At 46.0% G+C, this 25,747-nt stretch overlaps 1 protein-coding gene and 1 pseudogene across 21 annotated transcripts in view, besides 4 other annotated features; both read left to right on the plus strand.

Annotated features, from left to right (window-relative positions):
* Nucleotides 1–16,280, plus strand: part of UNC13B (unc-13 homolog B) — a 243,327-nt gene extending 227,047 nt beyond the window's left edge. For 7 of the 18 annotated variants that reach the window (NM_001387551.1, NM_001371189.2, NM_006377.6 and 4 more), the window contains 16 exons: nucleotides 791–918; nucleotides 1,574–1,659; nucleotides 7,421–7,547; nucleotides 7,786–7,882; nucleotides 8,112–8,255; nucleotides 8,580–8,657; nucleotides 9,156–9,233; nucleotides 9,499–9,587; nucleotides 9,827–9,979; nucleotides 10,106–10,229; nucleotides 10,337–10,393; nucleotides 10,594–10,674; nucleotides 11,241–11,388; nucleotides 14,112–14,204; nucleotides 14,385–14,544; nucleotides 14,693–16,280. In NM_001387551.1, the coding sequence (NP_001374480.1) occupies nucleotides 791–918; nucleotides 1,574–1,659; nucleotides 7,421–7,547; nucleotides 7,786–7,882; nucleotides 8,112–8,255; nucleotides 8,580–8,657; nucleotides 9,156–9,233; nucleotides 9,499–9,587; nucleotides 9,827–9,979; nucleotides 10,106–10,229; nucleotides 10,337–10,393; nucleotides 10,594–10,674; nucleotides 11,241–11,388; nucleotides 14,112–14,204; nucleotides 14,385–14,544; nucleotides 14,693–14,978 (1,929 nt within the window). In that variant the 3' untranslated portion in view covers nucleotides 14,979–16,280. Of the gene's footprint in view, nucleotides 1–790; nucleotides 919–1,573; nucleotides 1,660–7,420; nucleotides 7,548–7,785; nucleotides 7,883–8,111; nucleotides 8,256–8,579; nucleotides 8,658–9,155; nucleotides 9,234–9,498; nucleotides 9,588–9,826; nucleotides 9,980–10,105; nucleotides 10,230–10,336; nucleotides 10,394–10,593; nucleotides 10,675–11,240; nucleotides 11,389–12,895; nucleotides 12,953–14,111; nucleotides 14,205–14,384; nucleotides 14,545–14,692 lie in introns of all 18 variants that reach the window. The other 11 variants (NR_170667.1, NM_001330653.3, XM_047422602.1 and 8 more) reach the window with 3 other exon arrangements.
* Nucleotides 8,327–9,526: an enhancer, noted in NCBI's record as "CDK7 strongly-dependent group 2 enhancer chr9:35397379-35398578 (GRCh37/hg19 assembly coordinates)". NCBI's record gives its function as "activates an origin of replication core promoter dependent on BRD2, BRD4, P300/CBP, MED14 and CDK7 cofactors, with strong dependence on CDK7, by STARR-seq in HCT116 cells {active_cell/tissue: HCT116}" and the evidence as "EXISTENCE:reporter gene assay evidence [ECO:0000049][PMID:35650434]".
* Nucleotides 14,169–15,368: an enhancer, noted in NCBI's record as "BRD4-independent group 4 enhancer chr9:35403221-35404420 (GRCh37/hg19 assembly coordinates)". NCBI's record gives its function as "activates an origin of replication core promoter dependent on BRD2, P300/CBP, MED14 and CDK7 cofactors, and independent of BRD4, by STARR-seq in HCT116 cells {active_cell/tissue: HCT116}" and the evidence as "EXISTENCE:reporter gene assay evidence [ECO:0000049][PMID:35650434]".
* Nucleotides 16,693–17,238: an enhancer, noted in NCBI's record as "H3K27ac hESC enhancer chr9:35405745-35406290 (GRCh37/hg19 assembly coordinates)". NCBI's record gives its function as "activates a minimal SCP1, AML or CMV promoter by ChIP-STARR-seq in naive H9 embryonic stem cells {active_cell/tissue: H9 hESC(naive)}" and the evidence as "EXISTENCE:reporter gene assay evidence [ECO:0000049][PMID:30033119]".
* Nucleotides 17,239–17,784: an enhancer, noted in NCBI's record as "NANOG-H3K27ac hESC enhancer chr9:35406291-35406836 (GRCh37/hg19 assembly coordinates)". NCBI's record gives its function as "activates a minimal SCP1, AML or CMV promoter by ChIP-STARR-seq in naive H9 embryonic stem cells {active_cell/tissue: H9 hESC(naive)}" and the evidence as "EXISTENCE:reporter gene assay evidence [ECO:0000049][PMID:30033119]".
* ATP8B5P (ATPase phospholipid transporting 8B5, pseudogene) overlaps nucleotides 17,700–25,747 on the plus strand; it is a 76,275-nt pseudogene continuing 68,227 nt past the window's right edge. For 2 of the 3 annotated variants that reach the window (NR_003581.2, NR_110320.1), the window contains exons 1-2: nucleotides 17,700–17,772; nucleotides 19,872–19,948. The product of NR_003581.2 is annotated as an ATPase phospholipid transporting 8B5, pseudogene, transcript variant 1 (transcript). Of the gene's footprint in view, nucleotides 17,773–19,871; nucleotides 19,953–25,747 lie in introns of all 3 variants that reach the window. The other variant, NR_003582.1, reaches the window with a different exon arrangement.

Raw genomic sequence — 25,747 nt, forward strand, 5'->3', positions numbered from 1 at the left:
ATGACATCCCACATAAAGGCCCTGTTCCTGTCCTTCTGGGCAGCTCCACCTTCACCTTTGACTTAGTGGGAGATAATGTGTGTTCCACCCTCCCTGTGGTGACTCCTACTTCACTTTTCTGGGCTGTGAATATAGAGTGATTTCTCTTTACCTGAAAGTCACCATTGTATTCCCTTGCCTCTTCCCAAGTAAGGCCCTATCTTATCTAGTTAGGCAGATAGCTTCCTAGATGCAGTTCTTCCCCCTAATAACTTCAGGGGATCAAGGGAAGTCCTACTCCACTGAAAGGCTGAAATGCGCACCAGATCTGTTCAGTAGCTCCTGCAGAAGTTGAAAGAGCTTCTCAGAGCTGAGATGTGTATGTGTGTGGTCGTGGTGTGCTGTCAGTAGAGGAATACCACCAGAAGAGGAGGGCTGCCTGCCTGTAGGGGCCGCATAGAAGTAGACCTATTTAGTAAGGCTGGAGGGGCTGTTTCCTTTAGCCAGCGAGTTACTCTGCCCATAGCAACTGAGAGAAGGAAGGAGGATGGGCATCCTTATGTCTCTTGGACTGACCAAGTTTATCAGAGAGAACTTCTCAGCGATAGGCTCCCTGTGTTCAGGGATCTCACAATAGTCACTCTTACAGAACAGGGATAGTCTTGTGGAAGACAGGCTCTAGGAGAGGAAAGGTCCTTGATTCTAGAGGAAGAGGTATAGGAAGGGGAAGAGAAAGAGGATCGTTGGAGACACCCTCTACATTCTACTCTGACTCTTTCTCCCTCTCTCTCACTGTGTCCTCTGGATCAAGAAGCAGGAGCTACCTCCAGAGGAACAAGGGCCCAGCATTCGGAACCTGGATTTCTGGCCCAAGCTCATCACACTCATCGTGTCAATCATAGAGGAAGATAAGAATTCCTACACACCTGTTCTGAACCAGTGAGTATCACCCTCTTTGGCCCTGTCTGTTGGTGGTTGGTCTGTCCATCTGTCTAACAACCTCTTTCTTTCCTGTCTCTGTATGTTTGCAGTGCCACCTCTTCTTCCTGTCCATCCATCTGTCCCTCTGTCCCTTGTATCTGTCTGGGTAACTGTTTCTGGAGACAGGTGTGGAAACATAATGGGGGTCCCTGGCCAGATTGAGCCAGCTTCCCTGGAGTGAGAGACTTCTGGGACTGGGACTGCCATAGGAGCCCCAGGGGATCCAGAGACCATGTGTGTATGTGTCTGTCCACTGTGAATGAAGTGGGCCTTCTTATAGCCCACCCCCACTTGCCCTTTCTCCTCCAGCTTATTTAGCCTGCGCCTGCTTTCCAGCCTCTGCCTGGAGAGTCTCTACCTCTCAATTCCCTGCCTTCTGGGCATCTTCTGCCCCCAGGCCCATCTTGCCTATGGGGATCCCTTCTGCCCTCACTTGTCCTGCCACTGGCCCCTGGCCCCTGGGCCCCTTTTCTCCAGATTGGACCTAGCCCTGTTCCCTAAGCATCTCCTCTCTCCAATATGACTTCCAAGAACTAGGCACTTTAGCCTTGAAATGAATCAAATCAAATGGCTCTTGCCTTATTCTCTGACTGTGGTTTCTTCTGTCATCCAGGTTTCCTCAGGAGTTGAATGTGGGAAAAGTCAGCGCAGAAGTGATGTGGCATTTGTTTGCCCAAGACATGAAATATGCATTGGAGGGTAAGGATCTGTTCAAATCAGTGGGCTGCCAGGCTCCTAGCCCAAGCTCCTCGTTCACTGTCCCTTTCCTCTTCTAGACAACTACAAGTTCTGGGTGAGTGGTATAGTGAGAAACTAAAGGAATTCTAGGCCTAGTGGGATGTAGGCCCCGGGAGACCTTGGGTGGGCAAAGTTGCAGCCAAAGGACATATGAAAATGGCTGTGTGGATGTAGCTTCCTCCTTCCAGCTTTGGAGCAACTGCCTGTTCAAGACCTTCCCAGCCCAGAGATGAAATTCTCCCATGGTGGGTGTTCTTAGGTGGCCCACTTCCTGGAGAATGGTCTTGGGAAACTTCAGTTTTAAAGAATCAGAGAACCTTAAATACACAGATAGATGTAATTGTTTTCTTATGTTGGGGACTCTCTGGCCTGGCTTTTCTTGCAAGCTGCTCTGGATTAGTATGACAATGCCAGGAAGATACTTCTTCCCTCACTTCTCCTATAGAGCAGGGCCACAGGCAAATTATTATTCATCTTACTCATTCAGCTTGTTCTTTTATTCATTTCCTACCTTGGTCCACAAAGATATCATTCCATACCTGTATTAGACCTTCCTATCTGTACCCATCTGTACTCACCTATTTAGCAGCGTTTCCTGCCATTTTATGTGTGGTAGTCTCTCTACTCAGTCTGTGAAAGCCCATCTAGGAGGAGGAGGAGCCATCTGGGCAAGGACAAAGCAGAGTCTGGATCTGTTATTTGGGTGGGATGGCAGGGCAGATGAGCCACCCTCAGATGCTTGAATGTGTGAGGTTTAGAATCAGTGAGTCTTGAGATTGAAAGAAACCTTGAAGATCTGTGTTACATTTGAGCCAGCCACAGACTACACGCATACATTCTGTAACACAAGCCCAGAGCAGGGCTGCCTGCTGTCAGGCCAGGGAGGAGGTCATTGGTCTCTCCCTCCAGATGCCACTTAGTGAGCCTGATGGGGAGTACAGTCTCAGTTCTTGAAGAACTCTGGCTCCAGTGGGTTTGGGGGAAAAGAGAAAACACCTGTGAAAAGTGAATCAACTCCACAAGAGAAGTAGTGTGAGGTGGGGCAGAGGTTTTCAAACAGAAGTATCTTAGGAGCTAAGTTGAAGGGGAAACCCAGAGGCTAGGCTCCAGGCCTCTTGCATGATGACAGCTCAGCCAGCCCTGCATTTATCAATCTTACATGGAATTCTAGCTGAGATTTCTTTTGAAAGGGGAGTTCTGCTAATGTTTAAAACAAACACAAAAGGATTGAAAACTTCTACTTTAAGAGAAAGAATTAATGTTGGCCTGATTTCATACCTCAATTTCACCGCCTATGTAGCACTGTGAATTTGGTCCAAACTACTTAATTTTTATGAGCTCCCATTTTCTCATCTGTAAAATGGGAGTGATGATAGCATCTGTTTCTTTGAACTGATGAAGTACTGAGATGTATTTAGCATACTGCCTGGCACTTACTCAGCACTGACTAAATCTTAGTTCTTAAGAACAATAAGAAACCATTGCAGGCTCTTGAGCAGAGATGCAATGTGAAGCCAGCAGTATTTTAATAAGATCTACCTCAGTGGGAGATGAGGGCAGCTAGAATAGGGAGAGACTAGAATCAGAGAACGCAGATAATGAAGAGCTGTTGTAATAATTTAGGGATAGAGGGTGCTGGGATTAGAGAAGGGAAGTGGAGAGAGGAGAATGGGCTTTGATAGACATTGGAAGGAAGCCAGAACAGGACTTCGTGATTGTCAGAATATGGAGGGCAAGAGAAGGGGAGGAGTTTTGGGGGCCTGGATGATAGGAGAGTGGCATTGACTCTGACTAAACCAAACACCGCATATTCTCACTCATAGGTGGGAATTGAGCAATGAGAACACATGGACACAGGAAGGGGAACATCACACTCTGGGGACTGTGGTGGGGTAGGGGGAGGGGGGAGGGATAGCATTGGGAGATATACCTAATGCTAGATGACAAGTTAGTGGGTGCAGTGCACCAGCATGGCACATGTATACATATGTAACTAACCTGCACATTGTGCACATGTACCCTAAAACTTAAAGTATAATAAAAAATAAAATAAAATAAAGAAAAGGGTGAAACATTAAAAAAAAGAAAAGAAAAGAAAATGCTGTCCGTCACCAAATATTTTGTAAGTCAACATTATTAAGGTATCATTTATAGACAATACAATAAGACCACTTTAAGAATACAATTTAATGAGTTTTGACAAATAAGCCCAACTGTGTAACAACTCTCCCAATTAAAATATGAAACAAAAGTTCCTTCTTGCCACTTTGCAGTAAATCCCCACTCCATTCACCAAATGTTTATTGAATATTTTCTCTGTGCCTGGCTCTGTGCTGGTTATTGGAACCCAATGAGATGAACAAGGCATAGCACCATCCCTTAAGAAACTCACAGAGCAGTCTAGAAAACAGTCGTATAAATTGGTAGTTACAACACAAAGTTATAATGCCACAAGAGGAGTAAGTATAGGGTGCTGAGAGCACACAGGAGAACCATGTAACCCAGATTCTGAGGACCTGGGAAGGCTTCCTGGAGGAGGTGATGTACAAGCCGAAACCTGAAGGGTAATAAGATTTAGCCAGGAGGGTGGTAGTGACAAGAAAGGGAGACACAGAACATTTCAAGCAGAGGCTACAGCATGTCCAAGACCTGGGGTCTAGAGAGAGCTGGCATGCTTGGAGAACTGGAAGCAGCAGTTCAGTGTGACTAGCACTTCAGAGGGTAGGGGAAGAGATAAGTAAGACCTGAAGATGGAGAGGTGTGACGGAGTCAGATCGTGAAGGAGGTTGTAAGCCATGCATAGGCTTTTGGACTCTCTCTCTTTTTTTTTTTTTTTTTTTTTGAGTCTCTCTGTGTCACCCAGGCTGGAGTGCAGTGGGCTGATTTTGGCTCACTGCAACCTCCGCCTCCTGGATTCAAGCGATTCTCATGCCTCAGCCACCCGAGTAGCTGGGATTACAAGCGTGTGCCACCACACCCAGCTAATTTTTGTATTTTTAGTAGAGACGGGGTTTCACCATGTTGGCCAGTCTGGTCTTGAACCCTAGCCTCAAGTGATCCACCCCCCTCAGCCTCCCAAAGTGCTGGGATTACAGGTGTGAGCCAATGCATCCAGCTGACTTTTGGACTCTATCTTGAGGTAGCTGGGAGCCACTGACATATGTCAAGCAAGGGATTGACATGATCAGATTATTATGTAGAAAGGCCAGTCGCTCTGTCTACAGTGTGGAGAGTGGATTGGGAGGCAGAATGACCAGTCTGGAGGCTATTATAGTAATCCAGGTTACAGATGGGGGTAATGAGACCTAGGCAGGTAATAGCGTGGCTAGAAGGAATGGATAGATTCCAGAGACATTTGGAGGTGAAATCAGGGGCTGGCGATTTAACTGGGTATGAATAAAGAGGTAGAAAGAAGATTTGAGGATGATGCTCAGCATTGAACAAGAGGGTAAGATTAGTTGGTGTACTCTGTTCCACTTCAGCTGGAGATTTTAAGATAGTGAGAGACAGGGGCAAGTTAAATCTAGGCATGATGAAATGTTCCATCCGAAGCTTATATAGGCCAGGCATGGGGGCTCACGCCTGTAATCCCAGCACTTTATGGGCCTGAGGCGGGTGGATCACCTGAGTTCAGGAGTTCATGACCAGCCTGGCCAACATGGTGAAACCCCAACTCTACTAAAAATACAAACATTAGCCAGGTGTGCTGGCACATGTCTGTAATCCCAGCTACTCAGGAGCCTGAGGCAGGAGAATTGCTTGAACCCAGGAGGCAGAGGTTGCAGTGAGCAGAGATAGCACCACTGCACTCCACCCTGGGTGACAGAGCGAGACTCCATCTCAAAAAAAATAAGAAGTTTATATAGACGTTACCAGAACCAAAGAGAGATTAGGGGGAGATACCAGCAAACTGGGTAGTTGAAATCATGAGGTTGGAAGAGCTCTCCAGGAGGAAAGGAGGGAGTTAGGTGGAAGTCAGGGGCAGGAGGTTATGGATTGGCCTTTCTGACAGATTACCCCACCTCAAACAACTTTACTGGAGCATGACTCCATGGGACTTGTTAGAATAGTTTAAAGTGTGACCGGTGTTTCAGAACTTGTCAGTTAGTTTTTATACCAGAGAAGTTAATACAGAAATTAGGGATAGGGGCCAGAGTGCAGATAATAAATTGACAGAGAAAGTGAAAATTATATGTAGAAACAGTAACTTGAAGGTCCCTAAAAGAAAGAGTTAGGGAGTTATGGAGTGATGGGCAGTCCTGCTTGAAAAGGAAGGAGGAGGGCCCTCCTGATGTTTCTAGGTTCTTAGACTGGTTCCAGAACAGCAGGGGATGGGGGTGGAGGAGAGGGGCTCTCTTTTGATGTCCCTGAGGGTCTCTCTGATGTCCCTGATTTTTTCACTCTCTTTGTTGCTCATTGGTGTCTGCTCTGTCACAAGCAACCACTGTCATTCATATACGAAAAGTCCTCTTTCTGGGTGGTAAGAACATTTAGTTGTCCTTTTGCCTCTAGTCTTACACCTTTTCCCTCTTCTCCTGCTCACTGCTTCATAGAAGAGACTGCAAATGCAACTTTAGGTTGAGACAGTGCTGCCTGCAGTGCCAGGGAATGAAATTCCTGGGACTTGAAGCCCTTTGAGGCAGAATCCCGGGCTTCCATTTCCTCCTTCAGTGTCTGCTACACTAGTTCACAAGGGCCAGCTGCCCCAGCCTGGATGTTCCGCCTTGACTTGGAGGAGCATCACCCATGGCAACTCAAAGTTGAGCAACAAAGTCCCCAAGGACAGTGGCCTTCTCTTCTCTGCTGCTTAGTCCTCTCCCACATTTGCTTGCTTTTACCATTATGTTGATGTGTCAGCATACAATTGATTTTTATTATTCAAATTAGTGCTTCAACTATGAAGCGGGTAGATGAAGAGAACCTATGGGTGTGGCCAGTGCTCCAGACTCTGAGCAAATTGTGAGTTATCTTTGTCTTAGATTTTCCAGAAGGCTCTGGAGATTCAGCAAGATGACTTTTCAAATTCGTAGTAAGTGCCCCATTTTCTGCAGCATGATATGTCCTTTCATCTGGCTGTGTTTCCATAGTTTCCAAACTGACTATTCATATTTGCATACTTCCCTGAGAATTCATTTTTTCAATGTCTCAGCTCTGCCCTGGAGCCCTTCAGTTTGCCTCAAGATTCCATTACACCATGGCTGCCCAACTGCTCTGTCAACTTGGGCCCAGTTTGATTTTCCCTGTCTCTGTAGTTGTCACTGACCCATTCATGCCATGTACACCTGCTCATCTCTGCCTTTAAGCCTGTCTGAAGGATGACTCAGCTACTGTGATCAGAAAGGCCCTGGAAAACCATTGTCCTCTACAGTCATGGGCAGTCTCCCTACTAATCAGCATCAGCACCCATGGCCCTTTCTCCTCTTCTACACCAGAGGCCAGATGCTAGAACAAAAAGACCACTTCCAAACGCTAGAGCAAAAAGACTGCAGGCTTTATCTGGGAGTCTGGCTTAGTCTTTCTAGAGGAAGATTTGGGCCAAGCTTGTGGAGAGTTGCTGAGCAGAACACTGTTGGGGAGAGATGGCTGTGAGAAGGAGGTTGGGAGTCACCCTTGTCCTAAGACATCTGATGGAGCTGCCTGACCAGATCTGCTGCCTTGGGAAGGCTCAGGAACCATGGCCTCTACTGCTGGGACCTGACCCAACCTTTCTCCCTACCACTAGAGCATGAGAAAGACCACCTGTGTAAAAGTGCTGACTACATGAACCTGCACTTCAAGGTGAAGTGGCTCCACAATGAATACGTGCGGGATCTGCCTGTCCTCCAGGGGCAGGTGCCTGAGTACCCAGCGTGAGTCATCATGTGGGCACTACAGAGGGAAGGGAGCCCTCTGGGTGGGCAGGGCTAGTATCCCCAATTCATTTCAGCAAGCCAGTCTCGGGGACTGCCTGTTCAGGTACCACCGTAGACAAAGAAAAGTGTTAAACTGTGCCCTGCCATCCCGAGGACCCCAGTCTGGTGGAGCTGTCAGGAAGTGGCGTATTCCCACCGCTAGTTCTAAGCCCCTGTTCTCCTGCTGTGGCTGCAGGTGGTTTGAGCAGTTCGTGCTACAATGGCTGGATGAGAATGAGGATGTATCCCTGGAATTCCTGCGTGGGGCCCTGGAACGAGATAAGAAGGATGGAGTAAGTCAGGGGCTTTGGCTGCACCGGGTTCAGGCCAGGTCTCCCAGCAATTAGCTATTGGCAGAAGTTCCTGGGCTTTGGCCAGGATGGCTATGCCTGCCCTGTGGAGTTCACAGGAGGGCTGTTGAGGGCCATTAGCCACTCTTGCTGGTCAGAGCCTTTTCAAACTCTACAAGCTTGGGAAAAGATAGCAGCTGTGGATGGTGACCCTGTGTGTGGTCTTCCTTAGTTCCAGCAGACATCAGAGCATGCACTCTTTTCCTGCTCTGTGGTGGATGTCTTCACACAACTCAATCAGAGCTTTGAGATCATCCGGAAGCTGGAATGCCCAGACCCCAGCATCCTTGCCCACTACATGAGGAGGTTTGCTAAGGTGACCATAACTCTTCCTACTCCCTCCCCCTTACCACCACCACACTCACAGTCTCATCACAGGCCTGAGCTCAGCACCTCTCCACTGTGGCCTCCTGGTAAAGCTCGTGTGACCCCCATTCTCCTTTGCTGGTTTCTGGGGCAGACAGATGGTTCTGTCTTAGTGCTGTTCTGTGGTTGAGAGAGAGCTTTCTCCTGTACTGTGGGATTCCCCCTTTACCTCCCTGTTGTTATTGTTCTGTGATGAGAAGTGCCACCTCAGGCAAGATCCCCATAGAAGAGCTAAGAGTTCCCTTTCCTTTTCTTTCCTTTCTCCTCTTCTCAGACCATCGGGAAGGTGCTGATGCAGTATGCAGACATCTTGTCAAAGGACTTCCCAGCCTATTGCACAAAGGAGAAACTGGTAGGTTCAGGCCCTGGGACTCTTACAGAAAGAGAGTGGAAGACATTTGAATCCTTGCTTTTGAAGCTGTCCTCAGAATTGAGGGTTGGGGTGACACTCCTGATGCCTGATTCCCACCATGGCTTTGCTTCAGATCCATGCCACAAAATTACGAGAACTTGACAGAGTTCCTGTGAGTCTCATTTGGTACATTATCCTCTGCTAAGCTAGACCTTTGCTTAGTCTTTTTTTTAATATATATATAAAAACTTTAGATATTCAGAAAGTTATAAAGGATAATACATTAATACTTGAGTACCTACCACCCAGCTTAAAAATGAAAACATTTGCTTTTAGTCAAGGAGAATTATCTGAACTGGCCCCAGCTCTTAGTGCTGAGGGAGAAACCTATGTCATATGTGAAGTCCCTGTGGCTTTTGTGAGAGAGGGAGGGAACCTAGGCTAATGGGTCCTATGCTGAAAGGAGCCAAGACTCAACAGCTACATCTGTCCCCAAAGCCCTGCATCCTGATGAACAACGTGCAGCAACTGAGGGTCCAGCTGGAGAAAATGTTTGAGGCCATGGGAGGCAAGGAGGTAGGTCTTAGGGTTTGGGAGTCACTGTATTTTCCCTTTATTCCTGAGCTCCTTGGCCATAGAACTCCACCCTCTCTTAACTAGGTGTAGGCCAGGAATTTAGCTTGGGGTCTGGGCTGGCTTAATCTGAGGTAGGCATTCGGGTAAGGCCCTGCGAGGGAGGAATAGGCACTGGGGTAAGCCCTGCAAGGAAGTAGTAGGGGTGTGGCAGGGTAGAAGAGGGTAAGAAAAGCAGCCTAGCCAGGCTTACCTCCTGTGAATACAGCTGGACCTTGAAGCTGCAGACAGTCTGAAGGAGCTGCAGGTGAAACTGAATACGGTTCTGGATGAGCTCAGCATGGTGTTTGGAAACAGGTCAGTGACCCCACAATACAAGGCCCTCAGAGCCAGATGTGGTCCCTAGCCAATCCCAGAGCCCTTGCCCCACACCTCTCCATATAGCTGCAGGTGTGTGGATCTTCCCTGTACTCCTGCTGACTGTCCCTGCTGGAAATGCACCATGAGCATATGGGAATGGGACCAAATAGCTGGTGCCGCTCCAGGGACAGTGTGTGTTTGGGGAGGGAAAGGCTACACTGCGGGCACATGTGTAGTTTCCAGGTACGGATTGATGAGTGTGTTCGACAAATGGCCGACATCCTGGGCCAGGTTCGGGGCACAGGGAATGCATCTCCAGACGCCAGGGCCTCAGCGGCTCAGGATGCAGATAGCGTACTCCGGCCTCTCATGGACTTCCTGGATGGCAAGTGAGTACAGCATTCAGGACTATCCTGTGGGGATGAGCAAAGCAGATGCTATCGGGCAAGGGAGCCCCTTGGGGAGAGGGGTTCTCAAACTCTCACCCTGGTCTCACCTGTTGCCTGGACTTGCAGCCTCACCCTCTTTGCCACTGTGTGTGAGAAGACGGTTCTGAAGCGTGTACTGAAGGAGCTCTGGCGCGTGGTGATGAACACAATGGAGAGGATGATTGTTCTGCCCCCACTCACTGACCAGACGGTAAGGACACCTCCTTCCACTTCCTCCTGCTGTCTCCCTTCCCCTCACTCCCTGCTTCCTGATGGAGTTGGGGTCCTCTGCTTTTGACTGATTCCCTCTCTGCCCAGGGCACCCAGCTGATCTTCACTGCTGCCAAGGAGCTGAGCCATCTTTCCAAACTCAAGGTACTCTGGGTGTGGGGTCCTCCTGGCAGGTGTGGTCCTTCTGAAGTCATGGAGAGAGGGTGGCTGCGGGGAAGGAAATTGGAGCTTTGGAGACTGAAGAGGAAAAGGAGGAGATGAATATGCACTGGGGGCTGGCAGGTGGGTGCAAGACTTTCATGACTGCTGTGAGCTGTCCTGATGCTGCTGATTTCTCTGAACAGGATCACATGGTACGAGAGGAAACACGGAATCTCACTCCAAAGCAGTGTGCAGTCCTTGACCTCGCCCTGGACACCATCAAGGTGGAGGCCCCCCCTTTTTCAGACAGTCTTAACCACCACACTCACTTGGCCCTGGCATTCCACTCTCCCAGACCAGGTGTCCCTCCAATTCTTAACACTCCACATCCAGAAGAGAGTTACTATGTACTGCCAAGGATACAGAATCAGATATGGTTCCTAAATTCAAGATGCTTATCATTGGTAAGGTGATATAAGGCAGGAACATATGAACTGTGCTTCAAGGCACCTGGGAGAGGTATGTCATAGGTCTCAAGTTCTCTAAGGTTCAGATGGGTAAAAGAGCACTTTTGGTTCTTCTCCGTGCCTGAAGTGTTTCTATTCCATTTCTGTGCCTGTCCAGAAAGACCCATCCTTCAAACACTGCCGTACCTCCAGGAATGTGGCCATCCCCTACTAATCCTGCCAAATACCCAAATAATACTCATCCAAGAGCCTATGCTCTGGTTCTGTGGGTGTTCCTGAACAGCCTATTCTCACAGTCCTCTTCTTGCTTCTCTGAGGACAATGTTGGGGAGCTGCTTTCTGTAAGGGGATGAAGCAGTCACGGGTGCTCTTTTATCTTGCAGCAATACTTCCATGCAGGAGGCAATGGGCTGAAGAAAACCTTCCTGGAGAAGAGCCCAGATCTGCAGTCTCTACGCTATGCCCTGTCTCTGTACACACAGACTACTGACACTCTCATCAAGACCTTTGTGCGCTCGCAGACCACCCAAGGTAAGGCCCTGAGGGCTTTGGGTATCCACCTCTCCTCTCTGATACACATCTTCCCCTAGGGAGTCTGTATCTTCATGCCCTTGGGAGCAGATCCAGTTACTTCTTCAGAGAGCCCTTCAAATTCAGATCTCTATTGCTTGATGGGACCTCAGTACTTACCTCCACCCCATACCCATTACCAGGCAGGAGAATCACAGAGGCCTGGGAAATATGTCTAAGATTTCTTTTCCCAGACATTGCCTGGCCCATGCATGTTTATTAAACTCAAGGAATATACCCTGACTGGTAAGCGGCAAGAATGAAAAATCTGTGAGGAAGCCTTGAGAATGAATGGAAGCCATGAGAAATGTGAAGGCTCATAGTGTGTGGAGCTTTGCTGGGAGTTGTTCTGGGGAGAGAAGGCAAAAGACTTTCCAGACTCTGCAGCATGGATAGGGAGACAAGGAAGAGAGGCAAACCATGGCAGCTGCTGAAGGGAGGGTGTGGATCCTGGGGCCCTGTGCACAGCTGAGGCTCCAGTCTCAGGGGTGCTGTTTATGCACAGGGGACCCAGGAAGCCGGTTTTCTCCCAGTGACTTTCAGTCCTCAGAACCCCTCCCTACCTCCAGCATGGCCTGTCCAAAACAAAACACATCTGCATAGATGTAGCTCAGGTTGAAATTCTGACGCTGGAGCAGAGCCCTCCCAGGAGGCACCTCAGGCACATTTGTTACTGCTTGTTCCAAGGAAACCTGAGCAGGCTGCCTGGGGGAGTGAACCTGGTGGGGGAAGTTGGCGCTTAGGCATTACTGAGCTGTGTGTGAATCTGGGGCACAGGGCTGACCTAGAGGGGAGAGGGCTCTAAGCAGGTAGACTGGTGATGGAAAGTAAGAAAATGGAAGGGACCGAAAGTACTGCTCTATTCCCCATCTGTTCTCATTTCCAATCCAGGGAGGGAAGAATAGAGAGCAAAAGAAGAGCTGTGAGTCTCACTTAAGTGGACAGGTAGAACTTTTACAGAGCTGGGTACATGTTCAGGCATACACCATCAAGGAAGATCTGAGTTAATCCAGAAAGGCTTTTTAGAAGCATTGAGCTTTAAGCTTGATAAAAGATGAGGAGAGCCTGGAATGAGCACACATATGATGAGAGCAGGGTTGGCAACTGCGGGAAGAATCCATGTGTATGCGTGTGCATTTTCTACCCGTTGCTTTATCATTTAAGGGTCTAGGAAATTAAAGCCTACAGCCTGTCTCTTGTCCTGCTTGTCTCAGATACCTCCTCTCTGTATTTTTCTACTGTTTCTGCCCATGATTTGGTTGGTCTCTGACCCATGAAGTCTAATTTGGAGCATTCACACACTGACTGCAGCTCTTTCACTTCTTTCTCCACTCTGCCCCACCTCTGTGCTCCCTCAGAATATGTGTAGAGCTGCTTTGAATGGCTGTTAACTCCTTAGACTGCTAACGGATTCTTCTTTCTCTGTTCTGCTGCTGCTACTACCTCTGACTTGCCTGTCCTCATTCAGTGCATGATGGGAAAGGTATTAGATTTACTGCTAATGAGGACATTCGTCCGGAAAAGGGTATGTTGTACACCGTGCAGATATGGATCTAACATGGGCTAACACTGACCCCTGGGAGCTAGAATGAGCAACTCGTGCTGGGGGTGGGGGAACAAGCTGTCAAGGTTTAGGAGCTCTATCTCAAGTCTTAGAGATGGGTAATGCCTTCATATAGCCCAGGAAGGGGTTCTGTTGTTGATCTCTGTCGTATTCTCAGCATTCTCCCACCCCTCCACCTCAGGACAAAGAAGGATTTTCTCTGGGGTGTAAGATTGTGGTGGTGTTTTCTTTTTTTCTTTTTTTTTTTTTTTTTGAGACGGAGTCTCGCTCTGTCGCCCAGGCTGGAGTCCAGTGGAGCGATCTCTGCCCACTGCAAGCTCCGCCTCCCAGGTTCACACCATTGTTCTGCCTCAGCCTCCCTAGTAGCTGGGACTACAGGCGCCTGCCACCACTGCCAGCTAATTTTTTTGTATTTTTAGTAGAGACGGGGTTTCACCATGTTAGCCAGGATGGTCTCAATCTCCTGACCTCGTGATCCCCCCACCTCAGCCTCCCAAAGTCCTGGGATTACAGGTGTGAGCCACTGCACCTGGCCAGGTGTTTTCTTAAAATAGGGTGGGGTCTCTGCTAAGGGGAGCCTGTAGATTGGCTCTTTTCAGAGATTGGAACTGGGGAGTTCATTCTATAGAGGGGCCCAGGTTTGAGGGGGATGAAGTATTTCAGAGCACAGCAGCCTCCCAAGCAGGGACCTCTAGGAATCCTGGGCATAGGTGGGAGGTTGCTGCTTTTGGCTAGAGAGGACCCACATTTTTCCATTAAGAGACACTACCAGGTCAACATAATTCCCAGACACAGATACAAGGTGATGGCACTGCCCTACCCCAACGTCTTTCAGTTAAAAGTCCTTCAGCCTAGGAGATAAGAGTTTTGGGGATCCTTGAGAGAGAGTCTTAGTGCACTTTTGGAAAATGTTGCGCCTAAGATGCTGTCAGCTTAACTTGTGTTACAAGACACAGCCTTGTTCTTTATCCCATTTCTTTCCCTTCTCCTATTGCTTACTTCCCATGGTTACTGTGGTGATTGCTTCTTGCTTTTGGGTATAGGGTGGTGACCTCCTCACCCCTCAGGTTTACCTCCTACAGTTCTCCAATGGGGAATCATCTCTCCATTTGTCCCTCAGGGTCTGGTGTGGACGATCCTGTGGGAGAAGTCTCTATTCAGGTGGACTTGTTTACACACCCTGGTACTGGGGAGCACAAGGTCACAGTGAAAGGTGAGTGATGGACTTACAGGTCTGCCCTTTCCTTGCCCAGTGGCCTCACTCATCACTCAAAAGCAGGGGCTGCTCATCCCAGCCCTCCAGCTCAGCCCTCCTCCAAGGGGAAGGTCACCTGGGGTTCAAGAACTGGGAAATCCTGGTGGGATCCCTCACAGGTTTCCCTTGTTTGGGCAGTGGTGGCTGCCAATGACCTCAAGTGGCAGACAGCGGGTATGTTCCGGCCTTTCGTGGAGGTGACTATGGTTGGCCCACACCAAAGTGATAAGAAGAGGAAGTTCACAACCAAATCCAAAAGCAACAACTGGGCCCCCAAGTACAATGAGACATTCCACTTGTAAGTTACGGGGGGGACATACAGGACTCTGGGATGGGGGTAAGACTTGAGGGGTGGGGGGAGAGGAGGGCCCGGGGGGATGGCAGACTGGGGTGAAATCAGCTGAAGACTCAACTCTGGCCTCATAACTTCTATCTTGTGCTCACAGCCTCCTGGGAAATGAGGAGGGGCCCGAGTCCTATGAGTTGCAGATATGCGTGAAGGATTACTGCTTTGCCCGGGAAGATCGCGTGCTAGGGCTGGCTGTGATGCCTCTGAGGGATGTCACAGCCAAGGGCAGCTGTGCCTGCTGGTGCCCCTTGGGCCGGAAGATCCATATGGATGAGACAGGCCTGACCATTCTCCGGATTTTATCTCAGAGGAGCAATGACGAGGTGGCCCGAGAATTTGTGAAACTCAAATCAGAGTCTCGTTCCACGGAGGAGGGGAGCTGAACACCTTCGACTCCTGTGCCAATCAGGCAGCAGCAATTTCACAAATCAGGGCCAGTGGGAGTTAGCTGTGTAACCGGCTTAGGGTCTTTGCAGTCAAGAGGCTGACCCCTTCAGTTAAAGATATTTAAGGAAAAATTTGGGGTGGTGATAATATGGCTTTTCACAGAAAGGGTCATGAAGCCCTGGCCCAACAGGACTGTGGTACTAGGGGCTGGGATGTGGGGTTACCACATGGAGAGATTTTCCATTAAGAGAGAAGGACAAACATTTCTGAGAGTGTCAGCCATTCTTGGTAGACACCTCTCCACTCCTCATCCCACCTCTACCCATCTCCATGCCACACCTTATCCAGTTAGACACATACATACCAATCATTAGAAGAACAAGTTTAGAAGGTGTGGAACTTGTGCCTGGCTGGCTGGGTAGTCAGCTGAGCCTGTTGCTGAGCCCGGTGGTCTGGATTGGAGTATGGCCAGGGCAGGAGTACACAGAATAGAATTTAGACTGTCCCTTGAGTAGAATCCACTGATTTTCTGTGGCTCCAGTGAGAACAAGGCTTTGAAACTGAACAAGATAACTTCTAGAAATGAACTGTACTAATCCCTTTCCCCAGATTGTATCATGAGTAGAATCAGGTTCACGTGGTGCTTCAAAGCCCTGAGAAGAATATTTCTTTGGACCCCAGGCACTAGGGGCCACCTGCCTGGGAGTCTCCCTGCCTCACTCCTCTAGGCAGGGGAGTGATGCTTCAGGACGTGACAGGCTGTTCTAACATGTGTCTACCTGAGGGCTAGTTGAAGGATCCAGGAGTATTTTCTTCTTGGGTGGGCCCTGAACAAAGCCAAAAATTGTAGAAACCAGTCTAGAAAAAGTCCTGCTCATCTGTGGCCACTGCCTTCTAGCCGTCCTCCACCTTGCAGAAAGAATCTAGCCTTTGGTCTCTCTCTCTCTCATCGGGGTCATTTGCTATTCCCCTCTGATATTCAACCCTATAGAAGGAGCCTGGACTCTGATCCCTCTGTACAGGCTGGATGGAAGGGGCCCTCCACACTTCCTGGGAGGTCAGAGACAAACTGTTTCAGAGAGTCAGATGGACTTCCCAAGACTTGTTGAGAGATGTGACATGGTTCTTGGATTTCCTCTGTAGCAGCCTCCTGGACTTCCTGAGGACTCGACATTGTCCACAGATGTACTGGCCATTACATGAAACAAGAAACCAAGCATCTTTGCTGTTGTTAATTATTATATGTGCCATTGTTACAGGAGATTATAGGCTAGTCTGTAATAAATTATCTTATAGCAGCCTTTGGGGTTTGGTAATTCTGCTAATGTGTGGAAAGCCATGGAAATGACTGTCCTTTATAATGGTAGATTTTGGCCTAATGGTCCTTTGCTGCTTCACACTCCTCCACCCCCATACCTGACAGCCAGTGGGTGAAGCCTAAAGTGGTTCTGGATAAACACCACTGGGCTAACATCCTGTCCTAGACCTGAGACCACCAATCTAATTAACAGAGTCATGGGACCTACGGCACCAGCTTCCTACAAAAGGTCCAAAAGAGTAGCAGGAGAGGTATTCTGGTGAAAACTAGTCCATGCTTCTCTTCCCTTTGTCTAGAATCACTAGGACAGATCACAGCCTGGGTTGTGAGGACAAGGCAGGGGCCCACTGGGGAGAGGTGTGCCTGCCCGTCTTGGCAGAGGACTGAGGCTGCCACAGACAGGACAGAAGATTAGGCTTAGGACTGTACCTTGGACTTTCATTCAGGCTCTATTCGAGGAAGAAGAGCTGCAGTAGAAAGCCCACTCCCAAAGGGGAAGAAATAAGGTAAAAGGCCTCATGGCGTGGAAATGGGAAAAGCTGAAACAAGAAAGAGAGTGCTCACCTACTCTCAACCTGCACTAACACTACTTGTGGGGCAGGGACTAATGGGGCACCAGACAGGGAACTAGCTCCGTTTCCACTGCTTGCTAAATAAATCCTTAGAGTTCAGTTGCTCATTTAAAAACTTCCTCCTCCCCGCTCCTCTCCCAAGCCAGCCACTTAACATTTCTGCCTCAAAATTACCTCTTGAATCCATTGGGTCGCCTCAAGTTCCCACCACCACAAGAGTCGTGGCAGCTTTTAGGTCCTCATGCCTGAGTTACTGTGATAATCCCCTGCTTCCGTTCTTACCCTGCTCTCTTCACGCACTCCAATATAAAGTCCTTCTCCTATTAAACTATTCAGTGGTCACCCATAGCCTCCAGGCTGAAACTCCAAGACCCTCCAAGATAGCGCAGCCGGCACCGCCCCCCTTGCCCCTATCCTGCAGCTGTTCTAAAGTACTGCCCCGGCAGGTCCCCGACAAGCACTGTGTGCTCCTACCCCTCCGTGCCTGCACATGCTGCTCCCCTTGCTGGAAAATCTGCCAGCCTTTTCCACTGCTTTCTAGGCTCTGCTATCTGGACGCCTCCCCACAGCACTCTACATTGTTATAATTTACTTGTCTCTTTCCCCTCATCAGCCTGTGATCTACCCAAAGGCAGGATCTGAGTGTTGTATCTCCATTTCCCCAGCGGCCAGCATAGTTCGGGTACTTCAAAGCCAGATCGGCCCCTAGGGGCCCTCTCCATGGAGAAACGGTGGGTCTGGCACCTGAGGGTAGGGGTGTGGCCAGAGGCGGGCTCATGGGAGATGGGCGTGGTTTGTGGGCGGGGCTCTGCTCTACGCCGGAACCTGGGTCTCTAGGGCGTCTGCGCAGGAAGGTGCGTTGAGATGGCAGTTGCCGGAGTTGGAGGCCGGGCGGCGACGGTGAGCAAGAGGCTCCCAAAGTGGGTGCCCGAGTAGAAGTTATCGCCTTCTCCCTCCCAATATTCCTTGAAGAGAGACTGTCCCCTCTCAGTATTTCCAGTAGCTGTCTATCCTTATACTTTCTTGAGACAACTCCCCATATTCGAGTATACTGGTTTTCCAGACACTCCCACAGAGGACATATTTGTCGAGATTATCTAAGGAAGGGGAGCTTTATCCCCCATGTAACTCCTAAAGGGCACACATTTTTCCAGTTATTTCATGAAGAGATACCCCCAAAGCTCCAGCAATTGCACATTCTTGTTAACTCAGGGAGTTTTCCACTTTTCCAGCACTGTGCAGATTCTCGAAGAAGTCATAATCCTTGTCCCATACTTGATCTGAAGTGGCACGTTTGCTATCATTCCCTCCCACTCTTTGGCATAGGATACCTACTCTAGAGGGAAGAATCAAACTCTGGCTGGCTACCCATGGCTTCAGCAAGCTTTCAGATTTGAATTAGCCGCTAATTTCTGTAGGCTATATCTAATCAGAATTAGAACAGAAGTACCTTTAACAATGGACTTTTAAGAAAGAAAAATCACATCTTTCAGCGTAAGTTGTCGCTGTCGTATTCATTGTGAATATTCGGACTAACTCCCTGAATGATCCTCCCAAGCCCAGAAGCAGACAGGCAAAGTTGAAGAAGCAACAAATAGTGGAGATGGTATTGAAGTAGGAGTCAGAAGATTGGGCCCAGTTCTGCTACATTCTAGTCAGGAGATGACCTTTAACTTCTCAGAGCCTCAATAACTTGAATCTGTTATCTAGGACTAATAACTCCTGCCATGTCTACCTCAGAGGGATCAAATGGGCTCATATATATGAAAGCACTTTGAAAACTATACATTTTCTCTAAGTGTATAGGGGATTATTATAAATGATCCTCTGAGTTCTAATTAACTTCCAAGGAATTTGTCTTGCTTGGTACTAGGTTCAAATGCAACAGATATTTTTTGAGCGCTTACTATGTGCCAGGTATTCATCTAGACATGAGGCCTAGCATTGAACCAAAAGAGACAAAAACCCCTTATAAATTTAAGAATGAGTCGTCAGCATATTAAGTGCCTACTCATTACCCAGTGCAGCGTCAAAGCATGGTGAAGTAGTAGGAAGAATCTGTATTCTAGATTTAACTCTGCCACTATATAGCTGTGTGAGAAAGATTTTTTCCCTGTGTGAGCCTGAACTTCCTCATCTGTAAAATAAGGAAGTTAAGCAAGGTAACCTCTAGTTTTCTAGTCTTGACTCATCTGTACTTTAGGGGACCTGAAAGAAATTGATTAAAATACATATACTTTATTGGCCTTTTCTGAGTTGGGTTAAGAATGGAGAGAAAAATAGGAAGCAAAGAAGGATATGTCTGTATAGCAAATCGTGGGGTTTGATAAAGTATAATTTTTCCAAGTATTAAAAAATTTGACTTTTATATAAATACGAAATTAATAGGTCTCCAATATTTTATTTATTAATTAATGAGGGAACCAGTAAGATATTAAGATCAGTTCAAATGAAAAATTAAGAGCTAAATATTTATAGGCAATTTAATAAAGGAATGTTAAAATACGATTTCTGAATGATATACAAAACTAATTAAGGTCCTAAAGTGCAATAAGTCATAAATTTTGGAGTCATCTTTTCCACCAGACATAAAACATTTTTATCACTACTAGATGAAAATCTATAAGTTAACCTCTGCCCTAACGAGTTATAAAATAGTCCAGTCAATAGAAAACTAATCAAAGATATAAACACAAAACTGTACTAAAAGATCATCCAATAATTTATTTCACCTGTTTCTAGGTTTCAGATGACTTTTCTGACAATTGTAGTCATCAACTTCAACTTAGTTGTCAGGAAATGAAATCTGTTTCCCAAGCTTTGAAACTATAACTTTATGATGAAGATAAATAAAGTGAATTCCAAACTACCATATGTGTCTTAGAGATAGATCATTTTGGACTTCAGGGATCAAGTTCCAAGTTTCTTAAGAATGTGTTTGAATGACACAGTATCAGCATGAGAAATTCTCATATTCTGAATCTTTATTTCCTTTATAGAAATTCCATGGAATTATAGTTGGTCTACTCTGCAATGTCTCTATTTAAAAGCCCAAGTGAGGACAGACAAGATGAACGTAGGTAAACTCAGGAAAATGTATCTGAGTATGTCATTATTATTACCTCTGAAGTGTGTGTGTGTGTGTGTGTGTGTGTGTGTGTATACATGCACATATGGCAGATCAACCTGGCAATCAGATTGTTAACCTACCAAACAACTGATCAGGAAAGGAAATATATTTTTCAAAAGTAAATACTTTGTACTTAGAAGTACAAGCTCCACTGTTTTATCATCTGAAAATCCTAATTTGAGTACTCTCTTAACTTTTATATTTGGAAATTCACCAGTAAAGCTTGTGTACCTTTCCTTCTCTCCCCATTCTTCATAACTGCCTCCTGCTAAAAAGAGGTGATCAGTGTGAAAAAAGGCTGCTGAGGCAGATAAGGTCCTCCTTTGCAGCCTTTTTGTGGACAGAACAAATGGATCTGTCTCTGTAGTAAGGGAGGATTTCCATACCATTTCTGTGCTTTCCTTTGGTGAATCAAGATTCTAAAGGGAGGCCGGGCGTGGTGGCTCACACCTGTAATCCCAGCACTGTGAGAGTCCAAGGCCGGCAGATCACTTGAGGCCAGGAGTTCAAGACTAGCTTGGCCAACATGGCAAAACCTGTCTCTACTAAAAATAAAATAAATAAATAAATAAATAAATAAATAAATAAATAAATAAATTAGCCAGGCATGGTGACACATGCCTATAGTCCCAGCTACTTGGGAGGTTGAGGGACAAGAATCGCGTGAGCCTGGGAGGTGGTGGTTGCAGTGAGCCAAGATTGTGCTATTGCAGTCCAACCTGGGTGACAGAGGGAAACTCTATCTTAAAAAAAAAAAAAATCCTAAAGGGAGCAGGAATAATCACACTCCAGCCATCTTTCAGAATGGAACTGCCTGTTATGTAAGAACAACAACAACAAATTATTTCTAATGTGAAATTTTGAAAAAGGAAGATTTAGATTTAGGCTTCCTTTTGAGGAATGGAGAAAGTGCAGAATGAAATCAGTTCACTGATTGAAGGTCACAGTGTACTTTCTTTCTTTTTTTTTTTTTTTAGTAACACGGAGTCTCGCTCCGTTGCCCAGGCTGGAGTGCAGTGGCGCGATCTGGGCTCACTGCAAGCTCCGCTTCGCAGGTTCACGCCATTCTCCTGCCTCAGCCTCCCAAGTAGCTGGGACTACAGGTGCCCGCCACCACACCTGGCTAATTTTTTGTATTTTTTTTTAGTAGAGACGGGGTTCCACTGCGTTAGCCAGTATGTTCTCCAGCTGACCTCGTGATCCACCCGCCTTGGCCTCCCAAAGTGCTGGGATTATAGGCGAGTATACTTTCTTTACTTGCTGTCATTGGGCAGTTGTCCGATTTCATCCTGGAGGAAGCCCATGTCAAGGACACTGGCCCTGGTTCCAGAAGTAGAAAGTCAGGAAACTTCCATCCAAAGGAAAACCAGGGAGTCCTCTGCTACCCTCAGGAGAGCTAAAGGGCTAAAGGACCCAGAAGATAATCAACTGCTCTGCATATTCTTATGAACAGAAAATATGGAGAGCCAGAATACTTTAGGGTGTGGTAAGTTCCAGGCAAATGAAAAATGTAATAATCATCAATAAAGACTGATCAATTCATTCGACAAATATTTATTGATTATTAAATAAGTGCGAGCCACTGTGCTAGGTATGGCAATACAATGGCAACAAAACTAGACAGAATTTCTGCTCTTAGCGAGATTATGGTTTAGCGAGGGGAAACATTAATTAACAGCATATTTAATAGCACCAATAAATATAAAATATCTGCCATAAATGCAGTGAAATAAATACCATATGGGAAGTATAGTAGTCAAGAGCATGAATTCTGGAGTCATACCGTCTAGGTTTGAATCCTAGCTCCACCACTTACCACGTTATCTTGGGCAAATCTCTTAATTTCTCTGCTACAGTTCCTCCTCTGTAAAATGGGGATAATAATAAAAGTGCTGCCACATAAGGTTGCTGTAAGGATTAAATTAGGTAATATTTATAAAGCATTTAGGACAGTATCTGCCACATGATAAACACTGGTAAATGTGTAAAAAATAATCAAAATAATCTATAAGAGCTTGACACTTTCAATCAGAAAGATAATTAAGAACTTCATCTATAAATGTGTGTTATTTCAAAAGCCAAACCTTTTACCAAGGAAAAAGAGTTGAAACCAGTTTTCCTGGTAAATCCCTACAGGTAGGCTAGGACTACCTATTGCAGGTAGATTTACTGCTTCTGCTATTTTGAGCAGTAAGCAATTAATACTGGTTTACCCAAGATTTTGGCCTATTCCACTGAATTTACAAAACGACAGTGCTAAACCCAATCATTTGGCAGGTAACACTATTTTGAATATTCAGAATCTTCAGGCCTATTCTGGTTGGAAAATCTACAGTACATAAATACTGGCCAGTTCTAACATCTTGGTTGTCTACCCTCTCCTTTCTATTTTCTTTTCTTTTTCTTTCTTTCTTTTTTTTTTTTTTTTGACAGAGTCTTGCTCTGTTGCCCAGGCTGGAGTGCAGTGGCACGATCTCAGCTCACAGCAACCTCCACCTCCTGGTTCAAGTGATTCTCATGCCTCAGCCTCCCAAGAAGCTGGGATTACAGGCATGCACCACCATGCCCAGCTAATTTTCGTATTTTTAGTAGAGACGGGGTTTCGCCATATTGGCCAGGCCGGTCTTGAACTCCTGACCTCAAATGGTCCACTCGCCTTGGCCTCCCAAAGTTCTGGGATTACAAGCGTGAGCCACCATGCCGGGCCTCTCCTTTCTATTTTCTACCACTTCTTAGTTCAGCCTTTCATCATTTTAAGTGTTGACTATTATAGCCGTCTTTTAAGTGGTCTTTCTGTCTGCACTCCGTTCCCCTGTAAATCTATCATATTAATGTTTCTGAACTTCCAGTTTATCACATTTTCCCCTACTCAAAATCTTTGTAGGATTCTCTGAGATAAAGTTTAATATCATTATCCTAATATTAAAGTCCTGACTTGAAGTTCTTGTTTTCTGCCTCCTTCAGATTTTCGTACTTACTGTACTATCATACAACTTGTCTAGTCTCAATGCCAACCCTTTCATTAAGTCCTTTTTCCTGCCTACAGAACTGTCCCCTGCATCTCTACCTAATTAACCTGTGTTCGTCTCTTGAGTTTAGTGCAAGTCCTTCTCCATGAAGCTCTTTCCAACAATTCTGCCCTGCCCCCCTTTATCTCTCCTTCTTGAATTCCTGTAGTGCTTGGGTTCTACAGTGTTTGTTTGTTTGAGACAGAGTTTCACTCTGTTGCCCAGGCTGGAGTGAAGTGGTGTGACCTTGGCTCATTGCAACTTGAGGCTCATTGGTTGAGCCTCCTGGGCTCAAGTGATCCTCCCACCTCAGCCTCCCAACTAGCTGGGGCTAAAGGCACATGCCACCACACCCAGCTAATTTTTGTACTTTTTTATAGAGATGGGATCTCACTATGTTGCCCAGGCTGGTCTCAAACTTCTGGGCTCAAGTGATCCACCCACTTGAGTGGGAGGCCACTCAAGTGGCCTCCCAAAGTGCTGGGATTACAGGTGTGAGCCACCATGCCTGGCCCAGTTTTTTAAAATAATAGCCTTATTGAGATACAATTAACATGTCACAAAATACACCCTTTTAAAGCATGTAATTCAGTGATTTTTAATATATTCAGAGTTTTGAAACCATGACCATAACTTAATTGTAGAACATTGTCATCATCCCAGAAAGAAACCCTATACCCGTTAGCATTCACTCTCAGTTCTTTCCTCTGCTCTCCTATACCCTGGCAACCACTAATGGATTTTTCTGGACTTGACATATAAATAGAATCATATAAAATGTGGCCTTTTGTTACTAGCTTCCTTCACTTATGTTTTCAAGGCCCATCCTTATTGTAGTATGTATCCTTTTTATGGCGGAATACTATTCCAGTGTTTGGATATACCACAATTTGCTTATCTCTTCATCAGGTGATAGACATTTGAATTGTTTCCATTTTTTTGGGTATTATGAGTAATGTTGCGGTAAACATGTGTAAAAGTTTTTGTGTGGACATACAATTTTAATTATCTTGGGTCTCTACAATTCATTTAACATCTTATGTACACCCTGCCTTGACATGCTTTGCTGTTTTACATCTATGTTGTGTGATTCCATTAGATTGTCTGCCTAGCATAGTGCCTTCAGAGTTCTCTCTGTCCTAGAGAGTTTGCAAGACTGTCCCATTATTATATTTCTCCTTTCCCTTTCCTTTACCTTCCACACACTTCTGTAAATACCATCTTCATCACCACCACCACCACCACAAGACAACAATAAAAATTATCAACAGTTATCAAAAGGTAGCTTAATAATACTAGGTAGTAATTCAAAAGGTTGGAGTAAATCTATACATATTGACAAGGGAAGATGACCAATACATAGTGTAAAAAGAAAAAGGTAACTTGCAGAGCAATACATGTAGTAGGATCTCATTAAAAATATATATATAGAGAGATGTGTATATATACATAAATATTTGTGTATAAATTCCTTGAAATGGAAGGGACCTAAAGGATATACACCAATCTATTTATAGTGGTTTCCTTAGGAAAAGAAGGAGTGGAAGGCACAGGAAAGGAAACTTTAAATTTTTTCTGTATATATTTTTGTTTTTGAATCTTTTACAGTGGAAATGTATTTTTATATTACTTTGGGTAATTCTTAAAATTAATAAAAAGAAAAAAGTGTAATCACAAATGGAAAATAACTAAGTTGGAGAAACTAAAAAGAAAGGACAGAAAAGGAAAAAAAGAAAAAGGACTCTAGGAAGGAAGAGGGCATAGATATTGTGGCATGTAGACAGGAAAGTTAATCAGAGTCTTAGTAACAGAATACTCTACAAAAGAGCATTAAATAAACACAAAAGTAGACATTTAGGTTGCACAACTCTGTGAACATACTAAAAACCACTAATTTTTATACTTTCAATAGGTGAATTGTATGGTTTATAAATTTTACCTCATAAAGTTGTTTAGAAAAGACAGATCAAAAGTTCCCAGTGGCCGGGTACGGTGGCTCACACCTGTAATCCCAGCACTTTGGGAAGACAAGGTGGGCAGATCACTTGAGATCAGGAGTTCAAGACCAGCCTGGCCAACATGGTGAAACCCCGTCTCTAGTAAGAATACAAAAATTAGCCAGGCATGGTGGCGCGTGCTTGTAATCTCAGCTTCTCGGGAGGCTGAGGCAGGAGAATCGCTTGAACCCAGGAGGCAGAGGTTGCAGTGAGCCGAGATCATGCCACTGCATAAACAAATAACTTTTTAGTATGTGTGTCCCATCTGATATTTGGGACATACTTATCTTGTATCTGAATGTTTTATTTGCTAAATCTGGCAACCCTAAACAGAAGGGGTTAAGGTTTGAATCCTTTAGATTTAAATTGCTTTTTTAGCATCACCAAGGCATTTTGTTTCTAACTGACGGCTTTTCATATAACTCCCAAACCCTCGTCTGCTATCCCAGGGAAGGTTTTATGATGGAGAAGCACTGAAAGTAATGTCTAGCAGTTCAGTCATACAAGCCTGATTTTACCTTTACTGCATTGATGAGAAATCATTGGTCCCAGATTCCAAATGTGGTCAGAGTACGAAAGCACAACTCCCAATTTCCATCCGCCTGGATGTTCCTGTCAGCTTCTGCCCTACAGAAAGGGAGAAGCCAAAGGTCTGTAAAGGGAGTAGGGAATAGGGCCTTTGGTTTTTGAGCATGTCCTAAATTGTGCCAGCCAAACCAACCTTCTATGGACCCTTGTTA

This window comes from Homo sapiens, chromosome 9 (assembly GCF_000001405.40).
Source record: "Homo sapiens chromosome 9, GRCh38.p14 Primary Assembly".
Taxonomy (NCBI): domain Eukaryota; kingdom Metazoa; phylum Chordata; class Mammalia; order Primates; family Hominidae; genus Homo; species Homo sapiens.